This window comes from Homo sapiens, chromosome 9, assembly GCF_000001405.40.
Source record: "Homo sapiens chromosome 9, GRCh38.p14 Primary Assembly".
Lineage (NCBI taxonomy): Eukaryota > Metazoa > Chordata > Mammalia > Primates > Hominidae > Homo > Homo sapiens.
This window is the reverse complement of record NC_000009.12, coordinates 89,778,984-89,806,385: the sequence shown is the minus strand read 5'-3', so window position 1 is coordinate 89,806,385 and position 27,402 is coordinate 89,778,984. Positions and strand designations below refer to the sequence as shown.

Sequence of the window (27,402 nt, the reverse complement as noted above, 5' to 3'; positions counted from 1 at the left end):
AAGGAAGAGCACAGTTTGGGTTCCCAGGCTCCCCTGGAACCCACCCATCTTCAGACTCCCTAGCAATCCAGACACCTTCGTCTGCAGTGTCACCCCAGTCTCTGGGTTCCTTATTCTTTGCACGGTCATGACCTGAGCTCCCACGTCATTCCTCAGAGCCAGACTTGCCGCTTCCTAAACAACTATGCCGGACTCATGCACCTCAGTTTCCACAACTGGGTTCTGTTTCCAAAGCCTTTTGACAGGCCGCTCCCCTTCCACTCCTTCTCTGGTGCTGACTCCCAGAGCCCCTGCCTTAGTCATCTTGCAGTCCCATGGTCAGCCATGACCCCACTCGCTCATGCATTTGTCACTTTGCCTCCCTCAGTCTTTCTTCCTGGAAAGGCTTTCTCTGGTCATCTGAGTCCCACCCAGTCTCCCAAGGCTTTCTCAGCTGCTGTTTACCTCTTGGTGAATTTCGCAGCCTCCCTCACCCTACCACTGAAGCAGGTGTCCTCGCTCACTTGGCAGTCTGCTTTCAAGATCTGGACTTGACATCATACTATTGAGCTGCACACATTAGCTTCTGCCAGCATGGGGCCAGTCTTGGAAGAGCTGGGTGGTATTTTCACGCGTGCTGGCAGTCTCAGCTCTTAGGGAAGCAGCTCCCACACTGATGGTGCCCAGGAGTGATTCTCAGTGGATTTGCAGCTGGTTTTACATGGTAGACAATCTCCTTTTTTATTCTGATAAAACTCTTGGCTTTTCTTGAACTGTTAATATTTCTGCCTAAAAATAGATGCAAAATAACTAAATTTGCAATCATCTCCAAAAAATGAACTACAATAAAAACCTGACTTTTCCTCTAAGATTTAACATAAGGTTTGAGTTATGTGTCTTCTTCAAGTGTCCATTGATGGAGGTATTGATTAATCTATTCTCAATTGCCTGTGGTTCTGACATATGCCACAGTTAAACATCTCCAAATGACAAGGAAACAGAACTTCAGCATGCGAATGAAATAACCAAAAGATCTGACTAAATAGAACTGAAGACATGATTGTAAGCTCAGTCAGCATTTTCTTCTAATGGCACCAAGTAGCCCACAGTATTACCTGTGCATGCCTCATTATCTAGGCCAGGATAAAAGGACATTCACAATCTCTGGAGTGTCGAATTTCTCTTAATATTCACTTTGGTGGATGTTTCAGCTCCTTTTATTTTTTGATACTTACTTGTCTTCTAGAAACATCTTTTTAACTTATTTCATCCCAAGAATCTTTGACACGAAATAGGAAAAAAAAAATGTTCCAACACCTCTAGTGAGTCACCATCAACCAGAAATGAGATATTGCTTTATAAATTCTGCACCAGATCTTTGCATCAGAGCCAGCTTCGGCTACCAGGGCACCCACCATACTGCATCCATCTGGTGAGCTGGGTATCCGTGACACAGAGCAAGCCTGGGGAATGTTCACCTGCCCTGGCAGGCCAAACACAGGGGTACTGTATTCTGGGCTCACAGGAAACCACAGCGTCATCACAGCCACACTACTTTTTGGAAAAGGTGATACTCAAAATTATCTGCACTTCCCTCCTACGCTTCCTTCCAGAAAGCCCATTCCCCGAGAACAGTTGCAAACCACTGATGACTCTGATCAATGCATTGTCTTTTTAATTGAAAATTATGCAGAAACCCCTTGCATTTTAATGCCTTTTGTTGAAAGTAACTCAAAAATATGCCATTGAAAGAATATCCTGAGTGTAAACACATCTGTGAACCAGCAAAGACTTCCCAGGAGCTCCTGGAATCCTCATTGAAATAACAAGTCTCTATTTTGTGATCCTAACACCACCGGATGGGGTCAGGGTAGGTGTGCAAGACCTTGGATGTCCCTGGAAGTTCTTCTTCATGCTTAGTAAATTCCTTGGACCACCTTTCTCGTTGCCATTCACTTATTTCCAAATATTAGGGGAACACCTACAGGTCATCTCTATTCACAGGGAGTTCTAGGTGGCTGGTCTGTGCTGTCTGTGCTGCTGGGATCAGAGGTGTGCCTTGAAGCGTCCCTGAACCGTCAAGGTACCACATGCGCAGGAAGGAGGCTTGAGCTTTGCTTTTGGTTACAGGGCATATGCATAAGGGCTACTCAGAATTTAGGAGTTATATCTCTTCTCTTACTCCCAGCCTGTGATGCGTGAAATGTGACCTAGATTGTAATCCAGATTCTTCCAGGAACTCGTGGTGAGAAAGACCTCCAATGAGCTGCATATCTCTCTGTGTCTCAGTTTGCTTATCCATTAAATGGGTTTAAGAAGAATACCTACTGCACAGGGCAGTTGTGTGATTAAGAGGGATAATTATAAAACCGCTTGCCCCAGTGTAAAGATAAAGAAACAATAACTGTTGATAAAGACGATGTCTATTCTTTAATGCTTGTCTCCTAGTGAAAACAACTGGCTTCTCTTCCAATCATTTTGGCAGCTGACCCCAAATTCACCAAGGCAGACACTGAAATGAATGGAATAGAGAAATGAAAGCAATGGGTTCAGGGGTCAAAAGTGCTGCTGTACAAGGGGTGAGGACAGACAGCTCTCCAGCCACAGGGAGCCTTTGGAGCTACCATGGTCCCCAGGGAGCCAGGAGTGCGACTGAGCTCTCTTTCCTCGGTGCTATATCACCTGGACAGCACCTGATGTAGACTGAGGCTAGGGCCCCGTGGCCCCTTCTGAAAAGAAGATATAGCCATATTAGTTAGACCTGTTTATAATTTAAGAAAGCCCCTATAGCCACATGGCATTGCTCAACTATGGCCACAGTATGGGCAGAGCCCGCATCTATCCACCGCATCTAGGAAGTGCTTCTGCGTGGCCTTTCCTGTCCCCAGGCTCCTGTGCTCTTACTCCTAATTGCTTCATCCACTCAGCAACCCACAGAGAACCTGATGCTGGTCAGTTGGGGCTCCCCTTCCTGAACCATCATGTCAAACACGCAGCAGTCTTGTGACTGCCTTAGAGGGTACAACCTCCTGGACAGGTTGGTGACATTCTACAAGTTCACTGACTATCTTCATTTGGGCACAACCTTTTCTCTGATGCAAACTGGGCACGAACTTAAAAGAATATTGACTCAAAAGCCACCGGTATGCACTTTTCCCCAGGGACCTAATCCCCTTGGAGTGTCCCATGCTTCCCTCGTGCCCCAAAACATGATGCAACCCATGGGAAATCAAGTCACTTGCCAGTCACATGAAGGTCCCTTGCTATTCAGCCAGCACAAAGGTCTTTGTGCTGGTCAATCCAGCTGCAGGATTCTAGCTTTCCAAGAAGAAGCAAGTTGATGGGAGCAAGCACTGAAAGTGGAAACAGGCAGAAGCTTGTAGTGAGTATTTTCACACAGGGAAGATGGGGCTGGAGTGTTTTGGATGCCAAGGTAAGCAGACACACAAGCAGCCTGCTCATGCACGCACTCCTCACTTCATCAGCGCCCCAGGGAGAGGGAAAGGGGAGCTGGGCCCTGGGCCAGGGAACCAGAGCCGAGTTTCCGTCACTCACATGGAGCCAGCTCAACTCAAAGCTCCAGCTGCAGACAGCTTCCCAGGACAGCCCAACCTCAGGACAGCGGAGATGCTGGGTGGTAAGAAGCAGGCAGAAGGGAAGAGCAGAGTAACATTCATCAGCTTAAGGAGGACCCCCATCTTCCTGGATCATCTTTTCCAAAACTTAGAAAATGCAACACAAACCCTGGGGTTGCTAATATTTCAGGAGTCTGTATTTGATTTCCTCCACTTTTGTAAAGCAACATCAAAGTACTAAAATTGACCTTCCTATTCCTCCCAGAACAGGGTGTACTCCCCACCATTCAGAGGCAGAGCCAAACCGAGAATGAAAAACAGCATCCCATCGTCTGGTCCTGCCCAGCAACTTCATCCCAAGCTCAGTGAGATGCTGTCCCCAGAGCTGCAGCCGGGGAGACTCCTCCAGTTTCACAAGCACACCCTCTTGTAATTTCCACCTCTTTGGAGTAGCAACTTGGATAAATTGAAAATGGCACATGAAACATCTCTGTGCCTTTCAAAGGGAGGGAGCATCTCTAATGAGCTTTTGAAAGAAAGCACAGCATCGCCCAGTGGAAAGAAATGTGTAGTGACCACCCAGGCCTGCAGACGAGGCTCTACGATCAAGCGTGGATGCTAATTCCTGATTCCACCCAGTCTCACATTAATTCTCAGGAGTCAGAAGACCTACAAATGTACTCAGGGCATCCAGAGAGAGGCAGAATGCTGCTGGATTGGACACAAAGGACCTGGTCTCTAATTCTAGTGCCACTTATTTCCTTCTTCCCCCAGGTCCGCGACTCTGGCTTTGAGACAGCTGCTTTCCCAACTCTCATTCATGGGAAACCCACCCTAGCTGAGCTTCCCACCTCAGAGCAAACTGGAGAGAACCCATGCCAAGTGCTTCAGCAGTCGCGGGGATGAGAGTCCTACGCAAATATGAAATGTGGCATGCAGTCTCACAGAAGAACATGTTCTCACCAAGGATTGTTACAGAGAGCTGCCTTGTTCAAAGGTCCAAAACGGCTTTGGCAAAGGGTATCTTTCTTTCCATATTTGGCCAGAAATATGAGCTGACAGCAAATGCTATGATTTTGAAATACATGGCATATTATTTTTGCGAGATAGTCTATCTTTGGTGGTATATTCCACAGCTGATATCCAATACTGTTAAATGTTGAAGTCAGAAGACTTTAAACCAAAATAGGAGATAGCAATTAAGTAATGCTGTGCCCAATCTGTTGCCATTGGAGGCTGGTGCATTATCACTGGTTAAAGAGCAAGTGGGGAATTTGTAACAAATATTAGTCACGAGGCTAACCCATCAGGCTCACGTGGGAGAAGGAAAAAGGAAGAGGCTATAGGATCAGGATGTCTCTCTCCCCTGTCTGCAGATGTTATAAATGGATCTGGCCCTAAGAAACAACTTCTTGTTTTAAGATGTTCTAGGGCGGCCTTGGCAGGTGAGTGGAGATTTAAAGTCAAGAAACATAGAATTTTGTGCATTATTTGACAGATTTTTTGACCATGTCTGAATTCAAAATGGCCCCAGTTAGACTGGTGCTTTGGAAGTCCATTTTGTTTAAGATGAGGATATTGAAAGAAATTCACAGGCACAATTTTCTCAAGTCAAAAATATAACCTGATGAGTAGCAACTATATGGGAGGAAAATGGGGTAAACACAGAGTGGTCTTCATAGTGCTGAGATCTGACCTCACCCCCACCCTACACTCTGTGGGGCAGCTCTGGACTGCAATTCTGCCTGCTTGCCACTGAGGCATGACCAGCATCTGTAGAAGGCAAAAAGTGTCTGCAAAATGAAAGAGCCACTGTGACAAGGTGGCTCTGTCATTTTGCAGACACTTTTTGACACAGAAAAAGCTCTGGCTGCAGACTTAACATGAACAACCAGAGGCCAGCAGGGCCAGCACCACCTCCACTCCAGTCTGGTCTGAGTGGTCATGGGGGCTGAGGCTGTGATAGCTGACTCTTCATGAAAGCATCTGTCAAGGGGACAGTGTGGATTTTGCTAGATTGAGATCTGGTCAAGGGTCTCCATGCTGAAGGATGAATTATACTTTCTTTTTGTGTGGGTTTTTCTTTTTTTCTGGACAAACAGATATCACACAGAGTTTTGGAACAATCCTAACACACCTTTGGACTTTTGGATGAATAAAGTTCTCTACCTACAAGTCAGCATAGCACAATGAAAGCAGTAAGGAAGCCTTGAGTTTCCATCGTTGGATTCGGACTTCATGGTGAAATGCAAGTAGGTCACTTGCCTAAGTACAAATATGTGATCTCAATGTTGGCCAAAAAATGGGCAAAACTTCCTTAGGAAGCAAGGGTGAGAGGAATGGGGTCTGAGAGCTAATCCAGAAGCCCAGAATTCAGCCCAGGATTGCAGGGGCCCGCAGGCCTTTGAAAACGACTGGACTTCTCAAGGCTCCCAGGTCCTGGCCAGGTTGAAATCCCTGAGGACCATGGCCGCAGAAGAGTACAATGATGGGATGGCGTAGGGTAGGTCCCTGGCAGAAACCAGTTGATATTTGTTTCTTTATAATGTAGAATATCAAGATTGGGAGCAGAGATTCTCAAGCTTTGCTCACACCAGAATTCCCTGGGCAGCTCTGAAAGATCCCCAAGCCCAGGTGTCCCATCAGACCCACGGAGCCGGAATATGGAGGGGCCCAGGCATTAGACCTACCTTTCTCACCCACCATGAGATTTCACAGGGATAAAAACAACCTGTGCATGTATAAGCAGGTTAACTCTCATCAGGTTAAATCAAACCTAGAGGAAGCAAATGACAGACATTTCCTGACCTCCAACCCCCAGGCACTTTTCTTCAGATGATAATGAGTCATTGCCGAGCGAGTGGTACTTCATTCCCCACTCACCTTCCCACAGGGACACCGATGCAGTCAACCCTGTCCTCCTGTGCCATGTGGGTGTGAGGTGGGGAGGCAGAGATCACTTCTCCCCTGGCCTGCTTCTCATCTGTCCTTATGTCCTCAGACACATATGAAAGACCCTCCTGAGAACAATGCCAGGCTGCACACAGCAAATTCAGCAGCTGAAACAAGGCTCGACCATCAAGCTTAGGAAGCACTTAATCAAACGTCTACACCTCTGCTCCATGCTTTTCAGGGAGCCCACACGTACACTGCACAATAATGGGAGGATGAGGGGTAGGTAGCCGTTTGATCACTTCTGTGCCAGAAAGGAGGCACCATGCTTTCACACAGAAGATCCAGAGGAGGGGGGACCCTTGTCCTCCACCACTGCCAATCAAAGAAATGCGGAGGAGTGGAGATTGGTGAGCGCTGGGAGTGGGATTTGAAGCTGGACCTGCTGACGCCACCCCAGCATTCCCTCCACCGATTCTCAGAGCCACCCTGCGGCTAGTGCCCTAGGCCCTGACCTCTGAGAAGGTACTTCCAAAGGCCTGCTGATCTCATCTGAGTGAAAACATTTTTCAGGAGTTCACAAACTCCTTATCTGGCTGGGCTGCCTTTCCATAGGGCCAAGCATGAGAAAGGTCAACGCTTGTGGTGGGTTTTGCCGTGGGATTAATCCAAATAACAAAATAATTGCCCTGCAGTCACAAGACCTGGCCTCTAGTCAGGAGGCTGAGATTCGAATCCTGATTCAGGACACGCCAGCCTTTTAAATCTCAGACGACTAGAGACAGGGCCTGCATGTCCCAAAGACCTTGGGGTTGCTCAGAGGAGTTAGCACCCTAGAGGAAGATCCTTGTGAGATCCTCTGGCAGGCCTGATACCTGGAGCCTGCCTCCCTCACACCACACACCTGCACTTTCCTTCCCAGCATCTCTCCTGTCCCTCACACCCACTTTCCAGCCAAGCCCCCAGCACCCTACTGTGGCCTGGCCAGGGCTCCACCGAAACCGCCAGCTCAGGCAGATCCTTCCATGTGGAAACTTCCCTTTCCAGCCCTCCTTAACTTCTGAGTAGCAGTCCCAAGTCCCAGCCCTAGAAAGTGATGTGATGGGCTGCTTTGCACTGAGGTGTTAATGACTGACACCAGAGATTACAGTTGCAGAGGACCACAGTTGTCAAACGGGCCATCTCCAATTACAGCTGAGGAAACCAAATGCCCACACACAAAGAGTTCTGTCCCTAGTCACACATCCAGCTGGAGCCAGAAGAACCTCTTCAAGGAGCTCTCAAATCTCAGGCCCCCATTCCTTCCATAGATAAGCCTGCCAGCTGGTGCAGCCTCTTTAACCAGCCTCCCACCCAAATGCAAAATGGTGAGCTGAGGATTCTGCAGCGCTTTTTCCACTAAGGCAGGGACAGACAACTTTCCCCTCTGCAGCCTCCGTATCAGGAGATGAAACCAGACTTGGACCTCAGCATCTGGGTTCCTGATACCAGCTGGGGAAACACCGTGCAGAATGTACATAAAAACTCCAGAGGCCCAGAGGAGCTGACCCTGGTTTCACGCTGAACCCCTTACCAGGCATGACGCGTGTATGGACCTTTGGGGGCCCATCTGCATGAGCAGCATTTGCTCTGCAAACAACAGAGAAGCCTTGCCCGTTTGCAAGCATGTGGTGCACACGTGTTTGCTGGCAGGGGTGTCTGCACATGGCCTGCTGAACAAACACATCTTAAGACTTAAAAAAAAAAACTGGAAACTGTCATTAATAATCTGATTTTTATCTTTATAGGGCTTTGGCCCCAAAGGTATCAGGCTTCCCTATTATCACATTTCAGTCAAGCTCACAGCCCGCACTTGACATGTTGTTTAATCTTGGCACATCAAAGGGAGGGCTCTGCTACATTTGTTGCTATTGTTACCAGTGCCTGAATCCATCTGCACTCCACCCAGAAACCTACTGCTCCAGACACAGGAATTCCACCCGCTTCCCACCTCAAGGCTCTCAGATACTTCAAAGCCATTTCCTTAAATAAATAAATAAATAAATAAATGAATAAGAGAAAAGGGAAGAGAACAAGGGTAAAGTTTTTATTGTTTGTTTTCCGAAATGTTTCACTTCATTAAAATTGTAGAAGTCAGATCCGATATGCCTTGGGGTGTCCACATATGAAAATGGCCATCCTATTTTACTCTTACAATAAAAACAGAACACTGTATGTTTATGTGAACTTTCAGAAGCTCAGAATATTCTGGAAACTTCTAAACGACAGAAAAGTGTGGTCATATGCCGTCACTCTATTAGAAACGTGTGGCTCAGAACTGGCGCAGAGTAAGACAAGACTGTCTCCTGACCCACTGCACTCAGTGTGAGGTCACTTTGTGTGAGACGCTGTCACCATCTGCAGTGACCCCAGCAGGAGCCAACAAGGCCACAGGGGCAGGCCCTGGGCCCGCGCACTCCTCGATGGTTCTCAGTTCTTGCATGGCGACCCAGCAATCCCTCCTCACGCACCATGGGAGGTCACACTATGTCCACCTCCAAGGCCTGCCAGGATTCCCTTGGCCCCAGCTGGGAGAGTCTCCCCCGTCATTGTCCGTACTGCTTCAGGCCACTGTCCACCCTGGATCATGTGCCTTTGCATACAGTCCTGTCTCCCTCTGAAAACAATAGGATGTCAAGACCTAAGTGTCCAATTCACGCCACTGTCCACCCTGGATCATGTGCCTTTGCATACAGTCCTGTCTCCCTCTGAAAACAATAGGATGTCAAGACCTAAGTGTCCAATTCACGCCTTAAAAGACAATAGCTGTGAAACACCTGGGTCAGAAGAGCACTCAAAAGAAACGGGGTGGAGCTGCTCACAGCCATCACTCTGAGCACCTAAGGATTTGGTCAGGATCGCTTCAGCCCAGCCCCCATGGCAGAAGGTGACACTGCCCAACCCCAGGCCGAGAGGGATGGGGGCCTCCATGAGACCACTCTGGGAACATGACACATGTCCCTTACAGCGTGAGGACCTGGTGGCCAGGGGTCTAAGGATGCCCCTCACCTCCCACCAGGGAAATGTGTAGGGCGAGAGCCAGAGGAGCTATCTTCCAGTTCCTATATGGAAGGGCCTGCAATCCCACAGGTCAACTGAACCTCGGGGGCCATAGAGGGGTCCCGAGGGACCAGAATCAAGACACATCACCTTGAAGAGCTCCAGAAAGGCTGGATGGGGACTGCAGACACCACCAAAGCCCTGTGAGCACTTGGCCTCCTCACAGCAGCACCAGTTCAAGGAAGACTTATGTTTCCCGTGCATTTGCTCCCTTCAACCACCCTGAACTCTCCAGAAAACTTGGGGGCTGGGGAGGATGAAGAGGAGCCCATGAGAAAAAAATAGAAAAAGTGGTCCCCGCCCAGATTCCCACTCCTGACTTCCACCCTGAAAATAAATATGAACTGTTCTTGCGGCTGAAAGTGACCGAGGACTGTTCATAACCTAAGAGGGAAAAGACGGCTCAAGGGGCCCGCCGCTCTTCATTCCTGCAGGAGAGCCACCTCCTCCCCTCCTGAAGAAAGTTTAAATGGCTGTGGACAAAATGCAAAATTGTATCTTCATTACAATTTACTCAACATACAAGTTACATTTATTTCGGGCACAATGACCAGGACAATTTGCTCATGGCTAAATTTCAGTAAATATTGTTGAAGGAACAGGTTTATTCTCCCAAAAATGAAACACCTAGGTTAGATCATGGGCAAAACACCACCTTCAGGGTACGTAGTTCTGAGGATATCATAGCCATAAAATGCTGCCCACTTGGTCCCCTCCTCTGGGACAAGCTCCTTGTCATCCTTCAGGGTCAGACTCCAGGCTCAACTGCCAATGCCCCCAAAGGCAGGCCAGGCTTCTCCTCCCTGAGGCATAATAACAACAATAATCACAGCAAGAGCTGTAGCCACGGCCTTCCTGTGCTCAGGGCTCTGAGTTCAGCCTCCAGGTGGAGACTTCCTGGATGCCTAGCCTGGGAGGGAGGATGCCATTAGCCCATTTCACAGGTGAGGATATGGGCACGCAAGAGAGCAGAACCTGTTTACAAACTCTGTCCGTTATGATAAAAATGTCCAAAGTCATTATGAAATGAAACAAATGCATTTCATGCATGGACTGAAACTGACACTTACCACACAAAAATATCCCCCCACTGAGAGTTTGCCTGCCGTCAGCCCAAGTGTCCATGGGACAGAACCGCAGAAACTCGAGCTGTTTCTCTGCCTCAATAACCACTGTTATCATTGTTTGTTCAAAACAAATGTTAAACACAGGGACACCAGGGACGTGTATGACCCCAGGGCGGTGTGGGGAGGGGAATCGCAGGCCATACCTGCAATGAACTGAGAGGGTCCTAGGCTGTTATTAACTCCCACTGGAAACAAACTCGTGTGTCTGACCAACTGTACAACTGGGAGTTCTTCAAATTTACTTCCCTGCAGAATACATTTATTAAAGTGTAGGTAGAATAAGGTGCCAGTTTGAGGCTTACCTATATATTATTACAATTCAACAGTAACCACTGGAGCCATTGTTTGGAACACAAATGTTTTTCCAGGGAGAAGTATTTTATCACTGGCATCACTCAGAATCCCTGGTGCATGGTGACGATAAACAGAAGACAGAAGACAAACTGGTTGGCCTTATTTTTGTTTTGGGATTCTCTAAAGACAATGAGCACCCTCACTGCCCACAGGGAGGAGGAGAGGAGGAGACCACGCCCCTACTCCACCCTGCCCTTAGCGTGCCACTGCCCAAGGTCACCGGGAGCAGGAGCAGAGCCAGGACGGAGCCCAGTGGTGTAACTGGGACTGTGGGTGCCACGCCCAGTCCACGTGGCCTTCCCTAGGAGCCTCCTTCCACCACGGCTCACAGTCCTTTTCGGGGTCACATCCCAAATAACCTCCCTGCACCCAAGTCACAGCCCTGGGTCTGCTTCTGTGGAAAACCCAAACTAGGACAAATGGGTTTCTCCTGTCGATGTCCATGAATGCTCTGATCTGGAGAGATCTTCACAAAAACCCACAGGCACCTGCTGTTCTTTGTGAAGACCTCTCCAGATCAGAGCATTCATTTTTATTTGCTTTCCTATGGTAATCTTTTTAAAAATTACTAAAAGCACACTCTGTAACCACATGATCCAGCAATTCAACTCCTCGGCGCATGCCCAGAAGAAGTGAAAGCAGGGACTCAGACACATATTTGTACACCCATGTGCGTAGAAGCATTAATCACAATAGCCAAGATGTGGAAACAAGGCCGGGCATGGTGGCTTACGCCTGTAATCCCAGCACTTTGGGAGGCCCAGGCAGGTGAATAACCTGAGGTCGGGAGTTTGAGACCCACCTGGCCAAGGTGGCGAAACCCCGTCTCTACTAAAAATACAAAAATTAGCCAGGTATGGTGGTGCATGCCTGTAGTCCCAGCTACTCAGGAGACTGAGGCAGGAGAATCACTTGAACCCAGGAGGTGGAGGTTGCACTGAGCCGATATCATGCCACTGCACTCCAGCCTGGGTGACAGTGTGAGATTCTGTCTAAAAAAAAATGGATATGGAAACAACTCAAGTGCCCATTGAGGGATGGGTGGAGAAACTAAATGTGGTACATCCATGCAATGAAATATTGTTCTGCCTTAAAAAGGAAAAAAAAAATCCTGTGATAGGCTATGGGACTGAAGCTTGAGGACTTATGCCAAGTGAAATAAGCCAGTCACCAAGAGGACAAATACTGTGTGATTCCACTCCTGTGAGGAACGTAAAGTAGTCACATTCATGAGCCAGAAAGTAAAATGGTGGTTGCCAGGAGCTCGAGGAGGGTAATGGGGCTCTGTTGCCTAATGAGTAAGGAGTTTTAGTTTTGGAAGATGAGAAAGTTCTGGACATGGTGGGTGGTGATGGTAGCACAACAGTGTGAATGAAATGAATGCCACTGAGCTAGCTGTGCACTTGAAAATACTTACAATGGCAAATTTTAGGTTATATGCATTTTACCACAATTTTTTTAACTAAAAAGAAAAAAATGTAAAAAGCCCATTTTGGATCATGTGATGTAAGTAAGCAGCCCTGGGCACTGTCCGTGACCTGAGAGCATGACTCGGGGTCACAGTCGATAGGATCACTCAGAGGCAAAGGTCAGTGCTCAAGCCAAAGGACACTGCTGATTAGTGGAGGGAATGCATCTTCCCCAGGGTTCAAAGCCGAGGTCCGGCCCTGCCAGCTCAAGACACCCAAGCACACAGTGGGACTGCGGCCTCTCTGCAGCTGACACCGAGTGCCTACATATGACTCATCTGTCACAATCAATTAATGCTGCTGATTTGACTTTCTTTGGTTTTAAGGTCTGTTTGCTATTAACTTGTAGAAGTGTTTGCTTTTGTAACTGTAAATGCTACAAGCCTATCATAGAATTATAGAAGTATGCAGAAACTTCTGCTTTACATATATATCTTAGTTTGGGCTCCCCCAAAACCTCTGAGACAGGATTCTAGATGCCGGGGAGAGAGGCAGTCCTGACAATGAGCTCCTGGGTGGAAGGGGTCCACGCTGCTTTAACGAGCCATTTCTGGGTGAATCCAGAGGCCTTCCCTGACCCTCACAGCGCTGCTCCTGGGGAAAGGAAGGGGGATCCTGCACTGTGCCTGGGTCCCTCCCCACAGGCCTGCAGGTTGACATCCACTGGGGCAAACATTGAGGTTCTGGTGAAGGCGGCAGTTCTCAAACAGGAGAGGGCATCTAAACCCCCAAGAAGGTCTATTCCCACATGAATTATGAGCCCTGCCCAGGAGTCTCCAGTTGAGTTGGGGGCAAGGGAGACTGAAGGTCTAAAATTTTGGCAAATTCTGGAGTGAAACTGCTGCTCTTCCCAGGACGTTCCCTTGAAAACCCCTGGACTGGGTCAGCTGAAGCCCTCTGCCTGGCAACCTCTGCACTGAACTCAGTCCCTTGGCCAATCCCGAGTCATTTGCTGCCATCCCAGACACGTGTCTTCACCTGCACTCTGCCGCGTGTCCTTGCAAATGGGAAGACCTTACAGGTGGCTTTAAGAACTGAATTAAATTCAAGAGTGTTTGGAAGGGACCTGCTCCCTGTAGCAGCTCAGTGCATAGCACGGTGACACCAGTTGGTGCTGATGCCACCCCCGGGACAGAAAGGGGGGCCCTCCACAGAGGCCAGGACAGTGACGTCAGCTTGGCCGAGAGGGTGCTGCCCTCCTGATGCCACATGGATAAGCGTGCCTCATGGCAAACTGACTTATTTTCATAAGAAAACAAACAGGCCTGCATTATGGACTAGAGTGCTGAAAATGTGCCCACATTTTGAAGATGAACAAAACTTCAAGAAAATAAAAGATTTCTGCTTGTGGCTGGCCTCTTGGGAGTATGCCCCATATCCCAGTCTCAGTTTTGTGACTGGTGAGGTCTGAGGACTGTGGCCAGGAGGCTGGAGGAGAAGGGAATTGTTTTCTGTAACTGGACTACCAGGCTGAGTCCCTCGGGCCCTGTCAGGAGATGCTGGTCCCGGTAGGGAGGGAGAGTCCAGGGGGGCTGGGAACCAGCAGGCTGGGGGCAGCTGAGCTCCCCATACCCACTCAGCTCATCAGTTGGCAGAGGGGTGCTCCATCCAAATCCTCCTACCCCTGATGTCAAACCTTGGTGGTGCTCAAACTGTAGCTCCCTCCAGGTCCTGGAGGGCTGTTAAAGGACACATCCCACCAGCTTCTGCTCAGCCCAGGTCAAGGTGAGACCCCTGACTCCAAATTTCCAACCATTTCCATGGAGGTCGATGCTCCTGGCCCAGGGCCCACAATTTGGGAACCACTGGTCTGACCTAAAGGCGTCACCAACCGCACTCCAGCTGCTTAAGAAGAGCTTCCAGTCCCCCGGGCAACTGTTCCAGGGTAGCAAAGAGTAGAGGGAGTTCTGGGCCTTCCTCCCTGGTCACACCTGCTCCCAGCCTGCTCTCAGCCTGTGCGGAAGCTCAAGGGACCAGATGGGAAGCTTGACACTGCCTGGGGCCTGGGCTGGGAGCAGCCATTGCAGCCCCTCCCAGTACCAGGTGTCCTATTGCCGAGGGCATCCCAGGCAGCCTGCTCCCTTCCCTGGGCCTGGCAGCCCTGCTCCCCGAGCCACATCAAACAGAAACGGGGTCCCCCAAAGCTGCACGCACTGCTTACCCTTTGGCCTCTCGCTCACCTGACTGACTCCCAGTCCACAGATTTTCCCTCTTAAACATTCTGTGTTTTTTTGAGGGGAGGAAGGTAAGTATGCTTGGGAGGGGATATGACCTGGGATTTGGTCTTGGCCTGGTGGGCAGAACCCCTCCAGACCCCCATACAAAATAAACCTGCACATGATCCTAAAAAAGTAAGTATTCTAATAGGGAAAAAAGTCCGACCTAGTTCCCTGAGAGGAGTATTAAGCCCCACAACCTGCATCTTCCCCAGCAGGCAAATGCCCCTTCAGATGAAGCAGTCCCAGGACAGCCAGGCCCTGAATTCAGATCCTACCAGATCCCTGGGGTGCAGTCAGTGAGGCCTCAGCTACTCACCAGATTCCAGGTTCTCCTCCCTGAAACCCGGGAGATCTGGACACTTCAAAGCACACACACTACTACATAAGCGGTTCTGGTCACAGGGGATGCAGGTGTGACCTGACACTAGCACAAAAGCTCTGCAGAGCAGTGGGCTCACCCACCCCGCCCTGCCCCACTCCACCTCACTCACCGGGGAAGTCACCTGGACCTCCAAAGAAGCTGGAGCAGGGTAACCTGACCTTTAAGCCCACTTTCCTATCAATTAGGCACCAGTTGGCACTTCCTCCTGCTCCTGCTCCTTGCTGGTTCTGCAGAAACAACGCACAGAGGTCTCAAGTCCAGCCCACTTTGTGAGGGCAAAGACAACTCTTACATACACACATTCACACACACATGCACACACACAGACACACATACACAGGCACACATGCACACACACAGAGGCACACACACACAGGCACACACATCCCATACAGACACATACACAGGAACACATGAGCACATGCACACACATGCATACAGAGACAGACACAGACACACATACACACACAGGCTCACATGCACACACACACACAGGGGAGAAGTTGCACAGCAATTGCGTAGGCAGGTAAACATGTTCAAACAGGCAAGGCACTAGAGCACAGGTCAGGAAGCACCACAGTGACTTAGACCAAGCTCTGGCTCTCCCAGGCTCTGTGACCTTAAGCAAGTCACTTGAAGTGTCTGCATCTCAGTTTCCTGGCAAACACTATTGAAACAGAATGTTCAGAAATCAGATTCCTCCTGCAAGAGCCATTCTCAGGTAACTATTATCAAAAAGTCAACTCAGACATCTGAGGCCTAAGGAATCAGAACTGAGCTGGAGGAGGTAGGGGGCTCACAGCCCTGCCCCGACTCCCCAGGGAGCTCTCCTGGCTGCCTTTGATTGGAGGCCTCTGAAAATCTGTAAGAAAACTTTAGTTTTTGGAGGAACCATCTGAAAAAGTTATTTTGACCAAACCCTGTGTGTGAAAGAGAGCCATGATCTGCTCCAGGCCCCGCCACAGGTTGTCGTCATGAAAGATGGAAGACCCCAGCTTTGCAGAGCTCAGCCATTCAAGCCTTACAAGGAGCAGTGCACGTGGGGCCATGAGGTTCCAGAAGCAGGACCTCCCAGGGCTGCAGCTGGATCAGAAGAGGCATCATCCATGAGATGGGATGACCCCGCACCCTGGGTGGGGGTCAACCAAGCAGATGGGGTCCCCCTGCAGTGTGGGTGTGGTGTCACAGGTGTGGTGTCAGAGGCAGGCAGCCTGGCTTGAGCCCTGCCCAGGCACAGGCCCATGGTCAATCTCTTCATCAGCAGAATCTCTTGCCCTTAGTCCCAGAGCTCCGATTTTGTTCTGAGCATCGCTGTGTCTCCAAGCCTCACTTGCCAACTCAGTGCGGCCAACTGACAACATCACAGCCAATGGGATCAAAACCAAAGTGTTGAGGGAACTTCTAGAAAGTCTCCTGAAAAAAGAAGGGATGCTCCTTGTTCCTCTCTTTCTCCTTCCTGCTGCCTGAAATGCAAACAAAAGGTCTGGGGCATCAGAAGTCATCTTGGCCCACGAGGTGACAAAGCAGGAGGGTGTCCTGGGTGAGGACAGACCCTGGCTGTGTCTCCCACTGAGGGGAGGCACAGGCAATGGGCTTGAGGTCGGTGGCAGGGACAAGAACTTGGATGCTCTCCTGACCCTCAGCTCTATGGGATTCTCTCTGCCCAAGCTCCCCACTGGGTCCCAAGCCCAGCCTGCAGAAGCACTCCCTGTGCCCCTGCCTAGACTGCTGGTTCTCTTGTGTGCACTGGCGAACTCCCACCCAGGCTCCTAGTCACTACTGTGCTGCCGTAACTGATACCCCACATCCTGTTCTTTTATATGCATTTGATGATTTTCTGTTAATATGTTTCATCAATTACCAAGAGAGAAGTGCTAAGTGTCCACCTCTAATTGTGAATTTGTTCATTTCTCCTTTCAGTGCCATCAATATTGCTTCATGTATTTTGAAGCTCTATTGTTACATGCCTACACACTTAGGAGTGTCACGGCTTCTTAAGGAATTGATCTTTTTTTTTTGCTTTTAAATTTAACAGAGTTTAAGTGAGCAAAGAATGATTCCAAAATTGGGCACCACCCTAACCAGAATGGGTTCAGAGAGACTCCAGGGCTGCCAGATGGTCAGATAATATTTATGCACAGAAAAAGAAAAGTTTTTTTATCATTATATAGTGTCTCTCTTTATCTCTGTTAATTACCATACTCTGACTTTTCATTTGTCTAACATTAATCTTGCCATTCCAGCTTTCTATTGATTAGTGTTTACCTGCTATATCTTTTTTCTTTCTTTTACTTTTAATTTACCTGTACCACTGTATGTTAAATGGATTTCTTGTAGCCCACATTTGGTTGAATCTTTCTTTAATCGATGTGTTTAAGCCATATGCATTTAATGTCATTATTGATATGTTTGGATTTAGGGCTACCACTTTCTTATTGTTTCCTGCTTGTTTCATTTTGGTTTTATTCTTCTGTTTCTCTTTTTCTATCTTCTTTTGAATTATTTGAATATTTTTATAATTCAATCATAATTAACTTATCTATTGGGTTTTGGACTGTATCTCCTCCTATAGTTGTTGGTGGTTGCTCTAGGGATTACAATATGCATGCCAATTGTTCATAGTCCACTTAGGATTAATATTTTACCACTTAGAGTGGAAATGCAGAAATCTCATCACCACATACTTCCTCATACCCTCCCCACTTTCCACTGTAGTTGTCACATGTATCTATAGCCACTGAAAACTCTCATCAGACAATGTTAAAGCTTTTACTTTCAGCCATTATACATATTCTAAAGAACTTAAAATATTCTACTAAAAATAGAACTTAAATAGACTTAAGAACTTAATAAGAATTTAAAATAGACTACTGTATTGACTTGGATGTTTATGATTTTATGACCCTTCTTTTTTATTTCTAAAGTTCCATGCTTCCCTCTGTCATCATTTCCCTTCCAACAGAACAAGTACCTTTATATTTCTTTCAAGGAAGTGATTCTCAATTGAGTGCCATTTTGCCTCCAAAGTGCAATGTCTGCAGACATTTTTTATTGTCACAACTTGGTGAGAAGGATGCTGCTAACCATCCTATACTGTATGGAGCAGCCCACCACAATAAGGCATTATCCAATCTCAAATGTCAACAGGTTGTTTCAGAGAAAGTCTGCTGTTAACAAACTCTCTTAGTTTTTCTTCACCTGACAATGTCTTTATTTTGCCTTTATTTCTGAAGAATAATTTTGTCGGATATAATACTCTGAGTTGACAGGCTTTTTTTTTCCTTTCAGTAACTTTAAAAATGTTATTCCATTACCTTCTGGTCTGATAAAAAGTTTGCAATCTTTCTGATAGTTTTTCCCTCATATATAATGTGTTGTTTTTCTTTGGCTTCTCTCAATTTTTTTTATCTTTAGATTTAAAGTTTGATTATGATGTATCTGGGAGTGGATTTCCTTATTTTGTCCTGTTTAAGGTTTGCTCCATTTCTTGAATTTGTATGTTTATGTCTTTCACCAAAATTGGATGTTTTTACCTATGATTTCATCAAATGAAAAAAGAAGTCTATGGGGCATTTTTCTTCTGTCCATTTGGGACTCTGGCATAAATAGTAAACCTTTTAACCTTGCTCCACAGTTCTCTGAGGCTCTTATTTTATTCTCTGTTGTTTATAAAGCATAATTTCTATTGTTCTATCTTCAAATCAACTCCTCTATCATCTCTTTTGCTATTGAGTCCATCAATGGATTTTTAAAATTTCTGTTATTGTATTTTTCAGTTCTAAAATTTCCAATTTGTTCTCTTTTTTATACCTTCTGTTTTTCTGTAAGACTCTTTATATTTTTGCTTCTTCCAAGAATGTTTGCTCTTCTTCTTGAAGCATGTTATAATGGCTACTTTAAATGTCTCTGATCATTCAAACATCTGGATATCTTGGGTTTGGTGTACGTTCATTGTTCCTCCCAATGAGAATTTGTCAGGCTTCCCTGGTTTTCCTTATGTTGAGTAATTTGGGGCTGTATGCTGAACATTTTGAATATTGTTATAAAGTTATGAGCCTTCATACAACGTATGAAGAATGTTGGGGTTTTGCTTTTTGCTTTTGTGGGCAGCTAATGAATGTGATTTCAAGATGTATGTTCTAATATGCTTTGTATAAGCTATGGTTCTAATGTCAGTTTAGTTTTCAAAGACTTTCCATTGTTCTTTAGATCAGTTTTATGTGTGCACCACTCATTACAAAGACTGAATCCCAGGAAGTGGTCTACTCCATAGTTCTCAAAACCTTTAGCATGCTGTTTGGGGTCAGATCCATGCATACTCAGCTTGGAGCAAGCCCAAGAGTTCATATACAATTGGTGGGTCACTTTCTTGAGCTTCCCCTTTCTGGAGTTCCTCCTCACTCTTTTGCGTCCAGGGATCTGCTTTCTTGGCCCTCTGCCTAGAAATCTGAGCAGTTTAGTTTCCTGGTTCTGCTATACACTTACTGCAAGTGTGTATATGTGCAGAGTCAAGCAGCAGGAGGCTACAGAGACAAAAAAAAATGCAACAGAGATTCCACCACACTCTTCAGACATATTCCTCTGATGAAAAAGATTCTCCTTCCTCAGAGTTTTGGGTGCCTACCCAAATCCACTGTCACCACTGTGACAGCTGCAGCTGCAGGCATGAGTTTCCTTGGGGGACAAAGGATGTCTTCCACTCTCTCTGCTCCTTTCTACTCCTCAGGCCAGAAAGTCAATCCTTTCTTTGAAGCTCTTCCTGTTCTTGCCCAGTGCATTATTCCAGGACCCATGCTGCCCTGGGGTGTATGCTGGTAGAAAAAAAACAAAACAAAACAAGAAACTCACCACTAGATTTATCATACTTCAAACCATCTGATTTTCTTTCCCAGTATGCCTGCTACCCTTTGCTTTTCAGACTCTTTAGAGAGCCGCACCATTTACCTTTCAGACTCCTCAAATAGTTGTCCCATGGATTCTCTCCAAGATTTTAGCTGTATTTTGTGGGCGAGAAAGAGTAGAGTGTGTTTTCTCCATCTTAACGAACCACAATTGCCCTATTGCTGTCTTTTGACTATGAAAGTTTTTAAAGTACTAATTCGAGAAATAATCTTAGAGAAAATATACTACACTCTTTATGCAAATTATCAAAAGGAGAAATAGTTTCTAATGTCATTTCAACATCAGAGATCCACATATAGAATGTTAGACCTGAGAGGCACCTTGCATTCATCCATTCTGTCCCTCATAGGTCCTTTTTCTCTTTGCCTTCTCAAATAGGAGATATTTGAGGTACGTGTGTGTGGTGGGGGTGTTGTGTATTTACTAGAAGAACAAAATTTGCAGACGTACAAACTATACTTGGTAACTTTTGTTTTGTTTTGTTTTGAGATGGAGTCTTACTCTCTTACCCAGGTGGGAGTACAGTGGCGTGATCTTGGCTCACTGCAACCTCCGACTCCCAAGTTCAAGTGATTTTCCCACCTCAGCCTCCCAAGTAGCTGGGACTACAGGCATGCATCACCATGCCCAGCTAATTTTTGTATTGTTAGTAAAGATGGGGCTTCACCATGTTGGCCAGGCTGGTCTCAAACTCCTGACCTCAACTGATCCATCCATCTCTGCCTCCCAAAGTGCTGGGATTACAGGCGTGAGCCACCACACCCAGCCAATACTTGGTAACTTTTATCTAATGTGTGCCACATTTTGCATTCTCAATCCTGGTTAATTGTATAATTACCCAGAAAGTTGCACAAATTCCAAAATCTCCACCACTATAAACTCTCACCTCAGCATCAGCTCATGCCCAGCCAGCCACAAGTATATTTTATCCAGTTGCAGAAATGCCAGCTCTCCTGCTCGCTCCACCACTGAACCAGCCTCATAGCCTCCCATATTCCAACTTCCCTCCCAATGAGTTTTCCACACTGTCATCAAAGTCCCATCGCTAACAAAAATATGGCCATGCATTAAAACACCTCTAATTAAAAGTCAGTGTTTCTCCCTTGCTTGCTTGCAAATCTCATAAATGTGCATACTCCTTTTAAGAGAAAAAATAATGTTCTTAAATCTTTAGTGTTGCCTCAAATTATATCACATGATTAGTGTTATTCTTATTTGTATTTACATTCAAATGAAAACTGTATATAAGCACATTATTCTTATACTCTTACTTAGCTATAAAAGCAAATATAATTTCATACAAATACAAACTATAAAACCAATAATATCATATTAAAGTCATTTATTTAATGTGAATAATGATGTTGTTTACTCTAACTAAATGACTGATAATAAGGATAAAAATGTGGCTTCAGGTCCAATTCTATATTTAATGTTTAGCTTTATTTGTTAATAATAATACCATTAAGAATGCTTGGTAAATGAAAGAATAATAAGCTCTTGAAGGCTTTGTTCATTAGTTTTCAACAATCACATCTCATAGTTAACCAAAAATGCCAGCCACCCATCCTCAAAAATCACTTTTATTGGAATGTTACTTGATAAATTAGTCAAGTTGACTTGTTCACTTGAAAATACAATAGCTGTTTTGCTGTTACTTAAATCTACATTAGATTTCTAAGATAATTAATTCTGCAAGTAAAATAAAAAATTATTCAATAGTTTCTCCAACACTTTCTGCTAATAAACCATTGAAGTAACAAGACGGGCTGTGCCAAGAGCATCCATTCACAACGAGACTGCGACATGACACAAATGAGACGAGTTCTATGGATGCCGACAGCTTGATTACCTTGTTCAAGGTGACGACTTTATTTTCACCCTCCTCTTCTCCTTTCAAACTACTGTGAAACCTCTTTATGACATCACTGTGCCTTCTTTGGTGTGGAAGCAATCCTCCATACAAAATGCCTATGGCACTGGAATCAAGCGAGTGTGGTCTCTGTCCCCTTGGTCTGAGCTGGCTCTCCAGATGATCCAGAATAGACTTGTAATATTTCATTTTAAAATATCACCAGTATTAAAAATGGGAAAGAGCACACAGATTTCTGAGAGTAGATCCATGGGTGGTCTCCAGTATTCCACACAGCTCAGTTTGAGAAACGCTGATTTACAGGACAAATTCTGAGCCCCTAAGTGCACTGGACGTGGCCCATCTCAAATCAGGATGAATTATCTATTCTTTTTCTCATCTCCAGCCTGGCCAACATAGTGAAACCTCGTCTCTACTGAAAATACAAAAATTAGCCAGGTATGGTGGCGGGTGCCTGTAATCCCAGCTACTCGAGAGGCTGAGGCAAGGAGAATCACTTGAACTCGAGAGGCGGAGGTTGCAGTAAGCCGAGATTGTGCCACCACACTCCAGCCTGGGTGACAGAGAGAGACTCCGTCTCAGAAATAAATAAATAAAATAAAATAAAGAAAGAAATAGAAGTATTTAACCACAATCTTTACGAGGTGCTATTGTTGATGAGTAATATAAACTCTCTCCTTGGCTTTCCCAAAAATTGTTAGGAGAAGTTTGTACCCCCTTCTTCTGAAACAGCATTTGGAAAGGCTGAAGGTAGGGCTCACTACCAGAAATTAGATTTCAAGCCCATCCCACCTGTGCACAGGATGAACAAGTGAGACCTACCTGGCTTTATTCTTTCCCATCAAATAATCAGGATAAAATTTTTCTCCAGTGGGCAGTTGGGTGTCCCTTCTGCCTCCAGCCTCCTCTCTTCTCTACTTCCAAGAGACCGTCTCAACATGCTCCTACCACCCCCATTCCCACCCTGAGTTTTTCAGCACTGAAGTCAACTTTAGGTGGATACTTTCCATTTGGGGCCATCTGCTAAACAAACAGGTCTTCAGCTAGGAAGGGTGGCTGCTTCCTATGGCCTAACTTTGATGTGTTAATATGTTACCTGTCTCAAGACCTTTCAAGAGGAGGAGAGAAAGGGCAGGAGGAGGAAGAAAAGTCCTTCCTACTAGCGATGTATCTCTCTCCTTCCTTTTTTTTTTTTTTTTTTTTTTTTTTTTGAGATGGAGTTTTGCTCTTGTTGCCCAGGCTATAGGGCAGTGGCACAATCTCGGCTCACCACAACCTCTGCCTCCCGGGTTCAAGCGATTTTCCTGCCTCCTCAATAGCTGGGATTACAGGCATGCGCCACCATGCCTGGCTAGTTTTATATTTTTAGTAGAGACAAGAGTTCTCCATGTTAGTCAGGCTGGTCTCGAACTCCTGACCTCAGGTGATCCACCCACCTTGGCCTCCCAAAGTGCTGGGATTACAGGACTGAGCCACCGCACCTAGCTTGTGATGCATCTCTTACTAGTGCTGTGCAGGCTTGTGGTCATCTAGGAAATTCCTTGGGCCTGGAGCTATAGCAAGGGCTGCATTGCAATGCCCTCACAGGCTAGAGGCCACTATTACTATTGTTTTATCAGTGCTATAACTCTGCTGATAATGGTACAATGAACCTACAGCTTGGAAGTGGCCCTTTTTCCTTAGAGTCCCAGACTTGAAGTTGTCCCGGGAAGGTATCAGGGACCCCAGCATCTGCCCATCAGCCTCCCAGCTGGCGGGCCTAAGAGCTGCTTTGAGGATCAAAGAAATTCTGGAATGATACAAGACTCACAGATCAAGGAGACTCACCTGTTCTTTCAAAGGGTCTGGAAGAATGCCCTGTTCAGGGAGGCATTGAGGCTATCAATGTAAGCCCAAGGGGGTGTTCCATTTCAAGATAAATGATGCAAACCGACACATCACACACATGGTCACGGATCCAGAGATGACCATGGTGCTTGGGAGGCAGCCCAGAGGGGCCCAGGGGCAAGGGCTCTGGGGCCAAGGCAGTTGTAAGGTGTTACTACAACACAGTGAGACTGTGGAAAGATGAAAAGGTGAGAAGCAGGAGAGAAGGAAGAGGGCAAAGGCAGAAAATACAGCAGTGTCCTTTGGGGATAGAAAACAATGCCCTATAAATCACATGTCTTAATGGATGCCATTCTGTCCTCTGCAGGAAAGGCAGGCTTAGCTCAGAGAAACCGCTGACTACATACAGGGAAATAACTACATCTCTTTGCACTGAATTCACACACCTTTTAACATGGAAATGCAAAATGGGGTTGGAGGATCTTGTGCCCTTTATTCCCATGGAGCACGGGGCTCATTGAGGCCAATAGCTTTCAAAACTCGAGAATTGTCTGTGCCACCCAACTCTCCCAGGCTGTGACTTCCTCTTTTCAGCAACCACTGTGCCCAGATGGAGGGAAGCAGTGAGTTCACACAGTCCATTGCCTCTCTCTGAGCCAGGCAAGGGGGTATTTCATTTTGACCCAGATCTATTTGCAGACACATCATACAGGGTGTGACTCAGCTGCTCCGCTCGCCTGGCCTAGGATCCTCCAAATATCAGCCAAGCTTGGTTTTTAGACAGTCTCAGGGTGAAGGTGCATTTCCCTCCCAAGGAGAGCTGCTGTAGCAATGCCATGAGGACCAAGGTCCCAGACTTTCACCCTGTACTCGCCTCTCCCAAAGCCCAGGCCTCTCTGCTTGCCTCATGTTCCCAGGGTGCTCCTGCAGTGCCTGACCGCTGAGCTCTTTTCCCATCGGAAGACAGAAGGAGGGAAAGAAGGAAAAGGTAATGTGCCCTCTCTTAAAGTCATCTTTCTCATCGGGCCTGGCTGGTGGCAAGGAGGCTCGGAAATGCCACCCCTTCATGGGCACATGGCCACATGGAATGACACCAGGCTCTGTTCCCAGAGAAGAAAAGAAGTGTGGATACGGGGCAGTGGCTCCTCTCCCTCTTCCTTTCCCTGCCCTTCCTCTGGGGAACTGAAGTCATTTATCAGTGAACAAGAAAGTTTGGCTACAGGATGCATTTATTGAATGCATGCATTAGCTGAAACATCCAAGTAAGCCATTGAGCCTACTGACATGAAAAGAAATACCATATCTTTTCTAAGGCAAATCAGATCGTCCCCAAGCCCCCATGTACTAAGTGAGAAGACCAGCATCAGTCACATCTCATGGTTCCTTCCCCATCCCTTGAGTTGTTTGATGCTTACACTGTCCAGGGAAATGAGCAAGAAGCCACACTCTGTTTCCCTTCAAAGCAGCAGCACCCCAGTTCTCCCGGTAAGCTAGCCAGCAAGTCAGAATTGGCTGGCCTCCTGGAGCTCTTCCAAATTCTGTGTAGGGTCTTTCCCTAGATTCCTGGCAACCTCTCTTTCTGTTCAGCCCTAAACACAACAAGCCGTTAGTTGCTTTTTGGGCAAAGGAGCCCAGAGCACGGACACAGACTCCCCTGCCCCTCCTTAGTGGGAAAGAGACGTTACCTTTCACTCTCTTAGAAGGGAGACCCTGCAGTAGCAGGAACATAAACCTCAATTCGTTTCTCAGAAAATTCATTCTACTATAGACATTTCTACTTAATTCTGTGGTACTTTTTTTTTTCTTTGAGATGGAGTCTCACTCTGTGGCCCAGGCTGGAGTGCAATGGTGTGATCTCGGCTCACTGCAACCTCTGCCTCCCGGGTTCAAACAATTCTCCTGCCTCAGCCTCCCGAGTAGCTGGGATTACAGGCAGGTGCCACCACACCCAACTAATTTTTGTATTTTTAGTAGAGACAGGGTTTCACCATGTTGGCCAGGCTGGTCTCGAACTCCTGACGTCAGGTGATCCACCCGCCTCAGCCTCCCAAAGTGCTGGGATTACAGGCATGAGCCACTGCACCCAGCCTGTGGTATTTCTAAATGTACATTTTGACAATCTACAAACAGCTTTTAGGGTAAATAAGATTGCTCTTGAATTTTCTAAAAGCAGTGATATTTAAGTCATTCACTCTCAAAATGATGAATTTCTTGTTTCCCTCTCCCGATTCAGGAAATGCGTAGTTGAACTTCTCAGGTTTGCTTGAACTTCTCAGGTTTGCTTTGCACAGTCCTAAATCAAAGATGTGGACCAGGAAAATCCCACAGGAGTGTGCAGGACTGGCTTCTAGGACTCTTTCATGATTAGGGAAGGTGGCTCTAGTGGACTGAAGTACGAATGTTTGAAAATAAAAAGGACACACAGACCTACTCCAGGACAAATGCCTTGCTCAGTCTTTCCAATTCCTTATGGCTGAGCTGTAGAAGGAAGGCCCAGAATATTCCAGAAAAGTTCTGCACAGAGAATAAAGAAAAGGATGGTCATTGCCATTTCTTGGTGCTGAGGCAAAGAGATTGGCTATTTCTGTCTGCAGATTTCCTCACCCCCAACCAGGGTTTGATTTGAAACAGACATATTGTCGAAATTTTATGTGGAAATAGAAGCATTCTTGTGCTGCTTAAACCCCACCAGAGTCTCCCTGTGGGATGTTTTTTCATGAAGCCTTAGATCAAGCATGACTAATCTCTAGCAATTTGGTTAGTTAAGTTACTCCTGGTTACCTCTCCTTTCAGACACCTGGGACTGAGAGAACCTTCCTGGCTGAACCAAGCCCTACACTTCCAATCCAATGGTGGGCAGGCGAGTGGCCTTGGTGGGGTAGTGGAGAGTGTGGCTGCCTTCTGCAAAGAGTGCCAGGCAGATACTGTCATGTGCTGGCTGTGATGTTTTTTGATATTCTCTGGCTGTCTTTGTATTAAGTATTTAGACATTTAATATATTACAAGAAGCAGTACTTTGAGTCATCCCCATCGGATGAGAATCCTTCATGTACACGATACTCGTTATTTGGCAACCGGATCTCATCCACATCTTTGTAATGACTAACACATATGTTTTCCAAATAAATCATTTAGCAGATGTAAGGCGGTTCTGGTAAGTTTCTGTTAAGATCCACATTGCAGAAATCAGCCCATTTGCACTGGAAGAAGCCTGGCTGACTAGTGAAGGCAGACACTCTTAAGTGAAGAAAATAGCCTCATTCAAAATTTAAGAACAATGAAGTTCATTTCTAAAATACTTGGAGTTTTAAGTTGAAAAGTGAGCGAGTGCATGAAGCAATTACACGGCTTAAAAACACACACACACAATTGAAGTTTAATTAACTGTTTTTAACTCAGTGTATCTTCCGACTAAACACAGTTTGAAGTATCTCTAAGTCATTTTCTCCCAACAGAGAACAAAATCACACACCCTTTTTAAATCCTGAATCTAGAGGAAGTAGGCTGGATCTCTTCAGCCAACTGGCAAATGGGGCCTTTCTTCCTGGTGGGCCTTTGTAGCCACGCTGTCCCTTCCCCTGGGAGACGCCCTGGCCATCACTGCTACTGGTTAAAGGCACTGGCTACTACAGACCTCTGCTCCCTCTTCATCAGAAGCAGCCCTTGATCTTGGACAACTTAAAGAGAGTCTTAGGTTTATGGCA

At 46.4% G+C, this 27,402-nt stretch overlaps 1 long non-coding RNA gene across 1 annotated transcript, besides 2 other annotated features; it reads left to right on the top strand.

Moving 5' to 3' along the window:
- The first annotated feature begins 3,172 nt into the window (after positions 1 to 3,172).
- Positions 3,173 to 4,659, top strand: LOC107987032 (uncharacterized). The gene is made up of 2 exons (XR_001746572.1): positions 3,173 to 3,361; positions 3,820 to 4,659. It is a non-coding gene; the product is annotated as an uncharacterized LOC107987032 (long non-coding RNA).
- Positions 13,539 to 13,704: a silencer, noted in NCBI's record as "fragment chr9:92494129-92494294 (GRCh37/hg19 assembly coordinates)". NCBI's record gives its function as "represses an EF-1alpha promoter that drives an FKBP-Casp9 reporter gene in an ReSE screen in HepG2 liver carcinoma cells {active_cell/tissue: HepG2}" and the evidence as "EXISTENCE:reporter gene assay evidence [ECO:0000049][PMID:32094911]".
- Positions 13,992 to 14,492: an enhancer, noted in NCBI's record as "H3K4me1 hESC enhancer chr9:92493341-92493841 (GRCh37/hg19 assembly coordinates)". NCBI's record gives its function as "activates a minimal SCP1, AML or CMV promoter by ChIP-STARR-seq in primed H9 embryonic stem cells {active_cell/tissue: H9 hESC(primed)}" and the evidence as "EXISTENCE:reporter gene assay evidence [ECO:0000049][PMID:30033119]".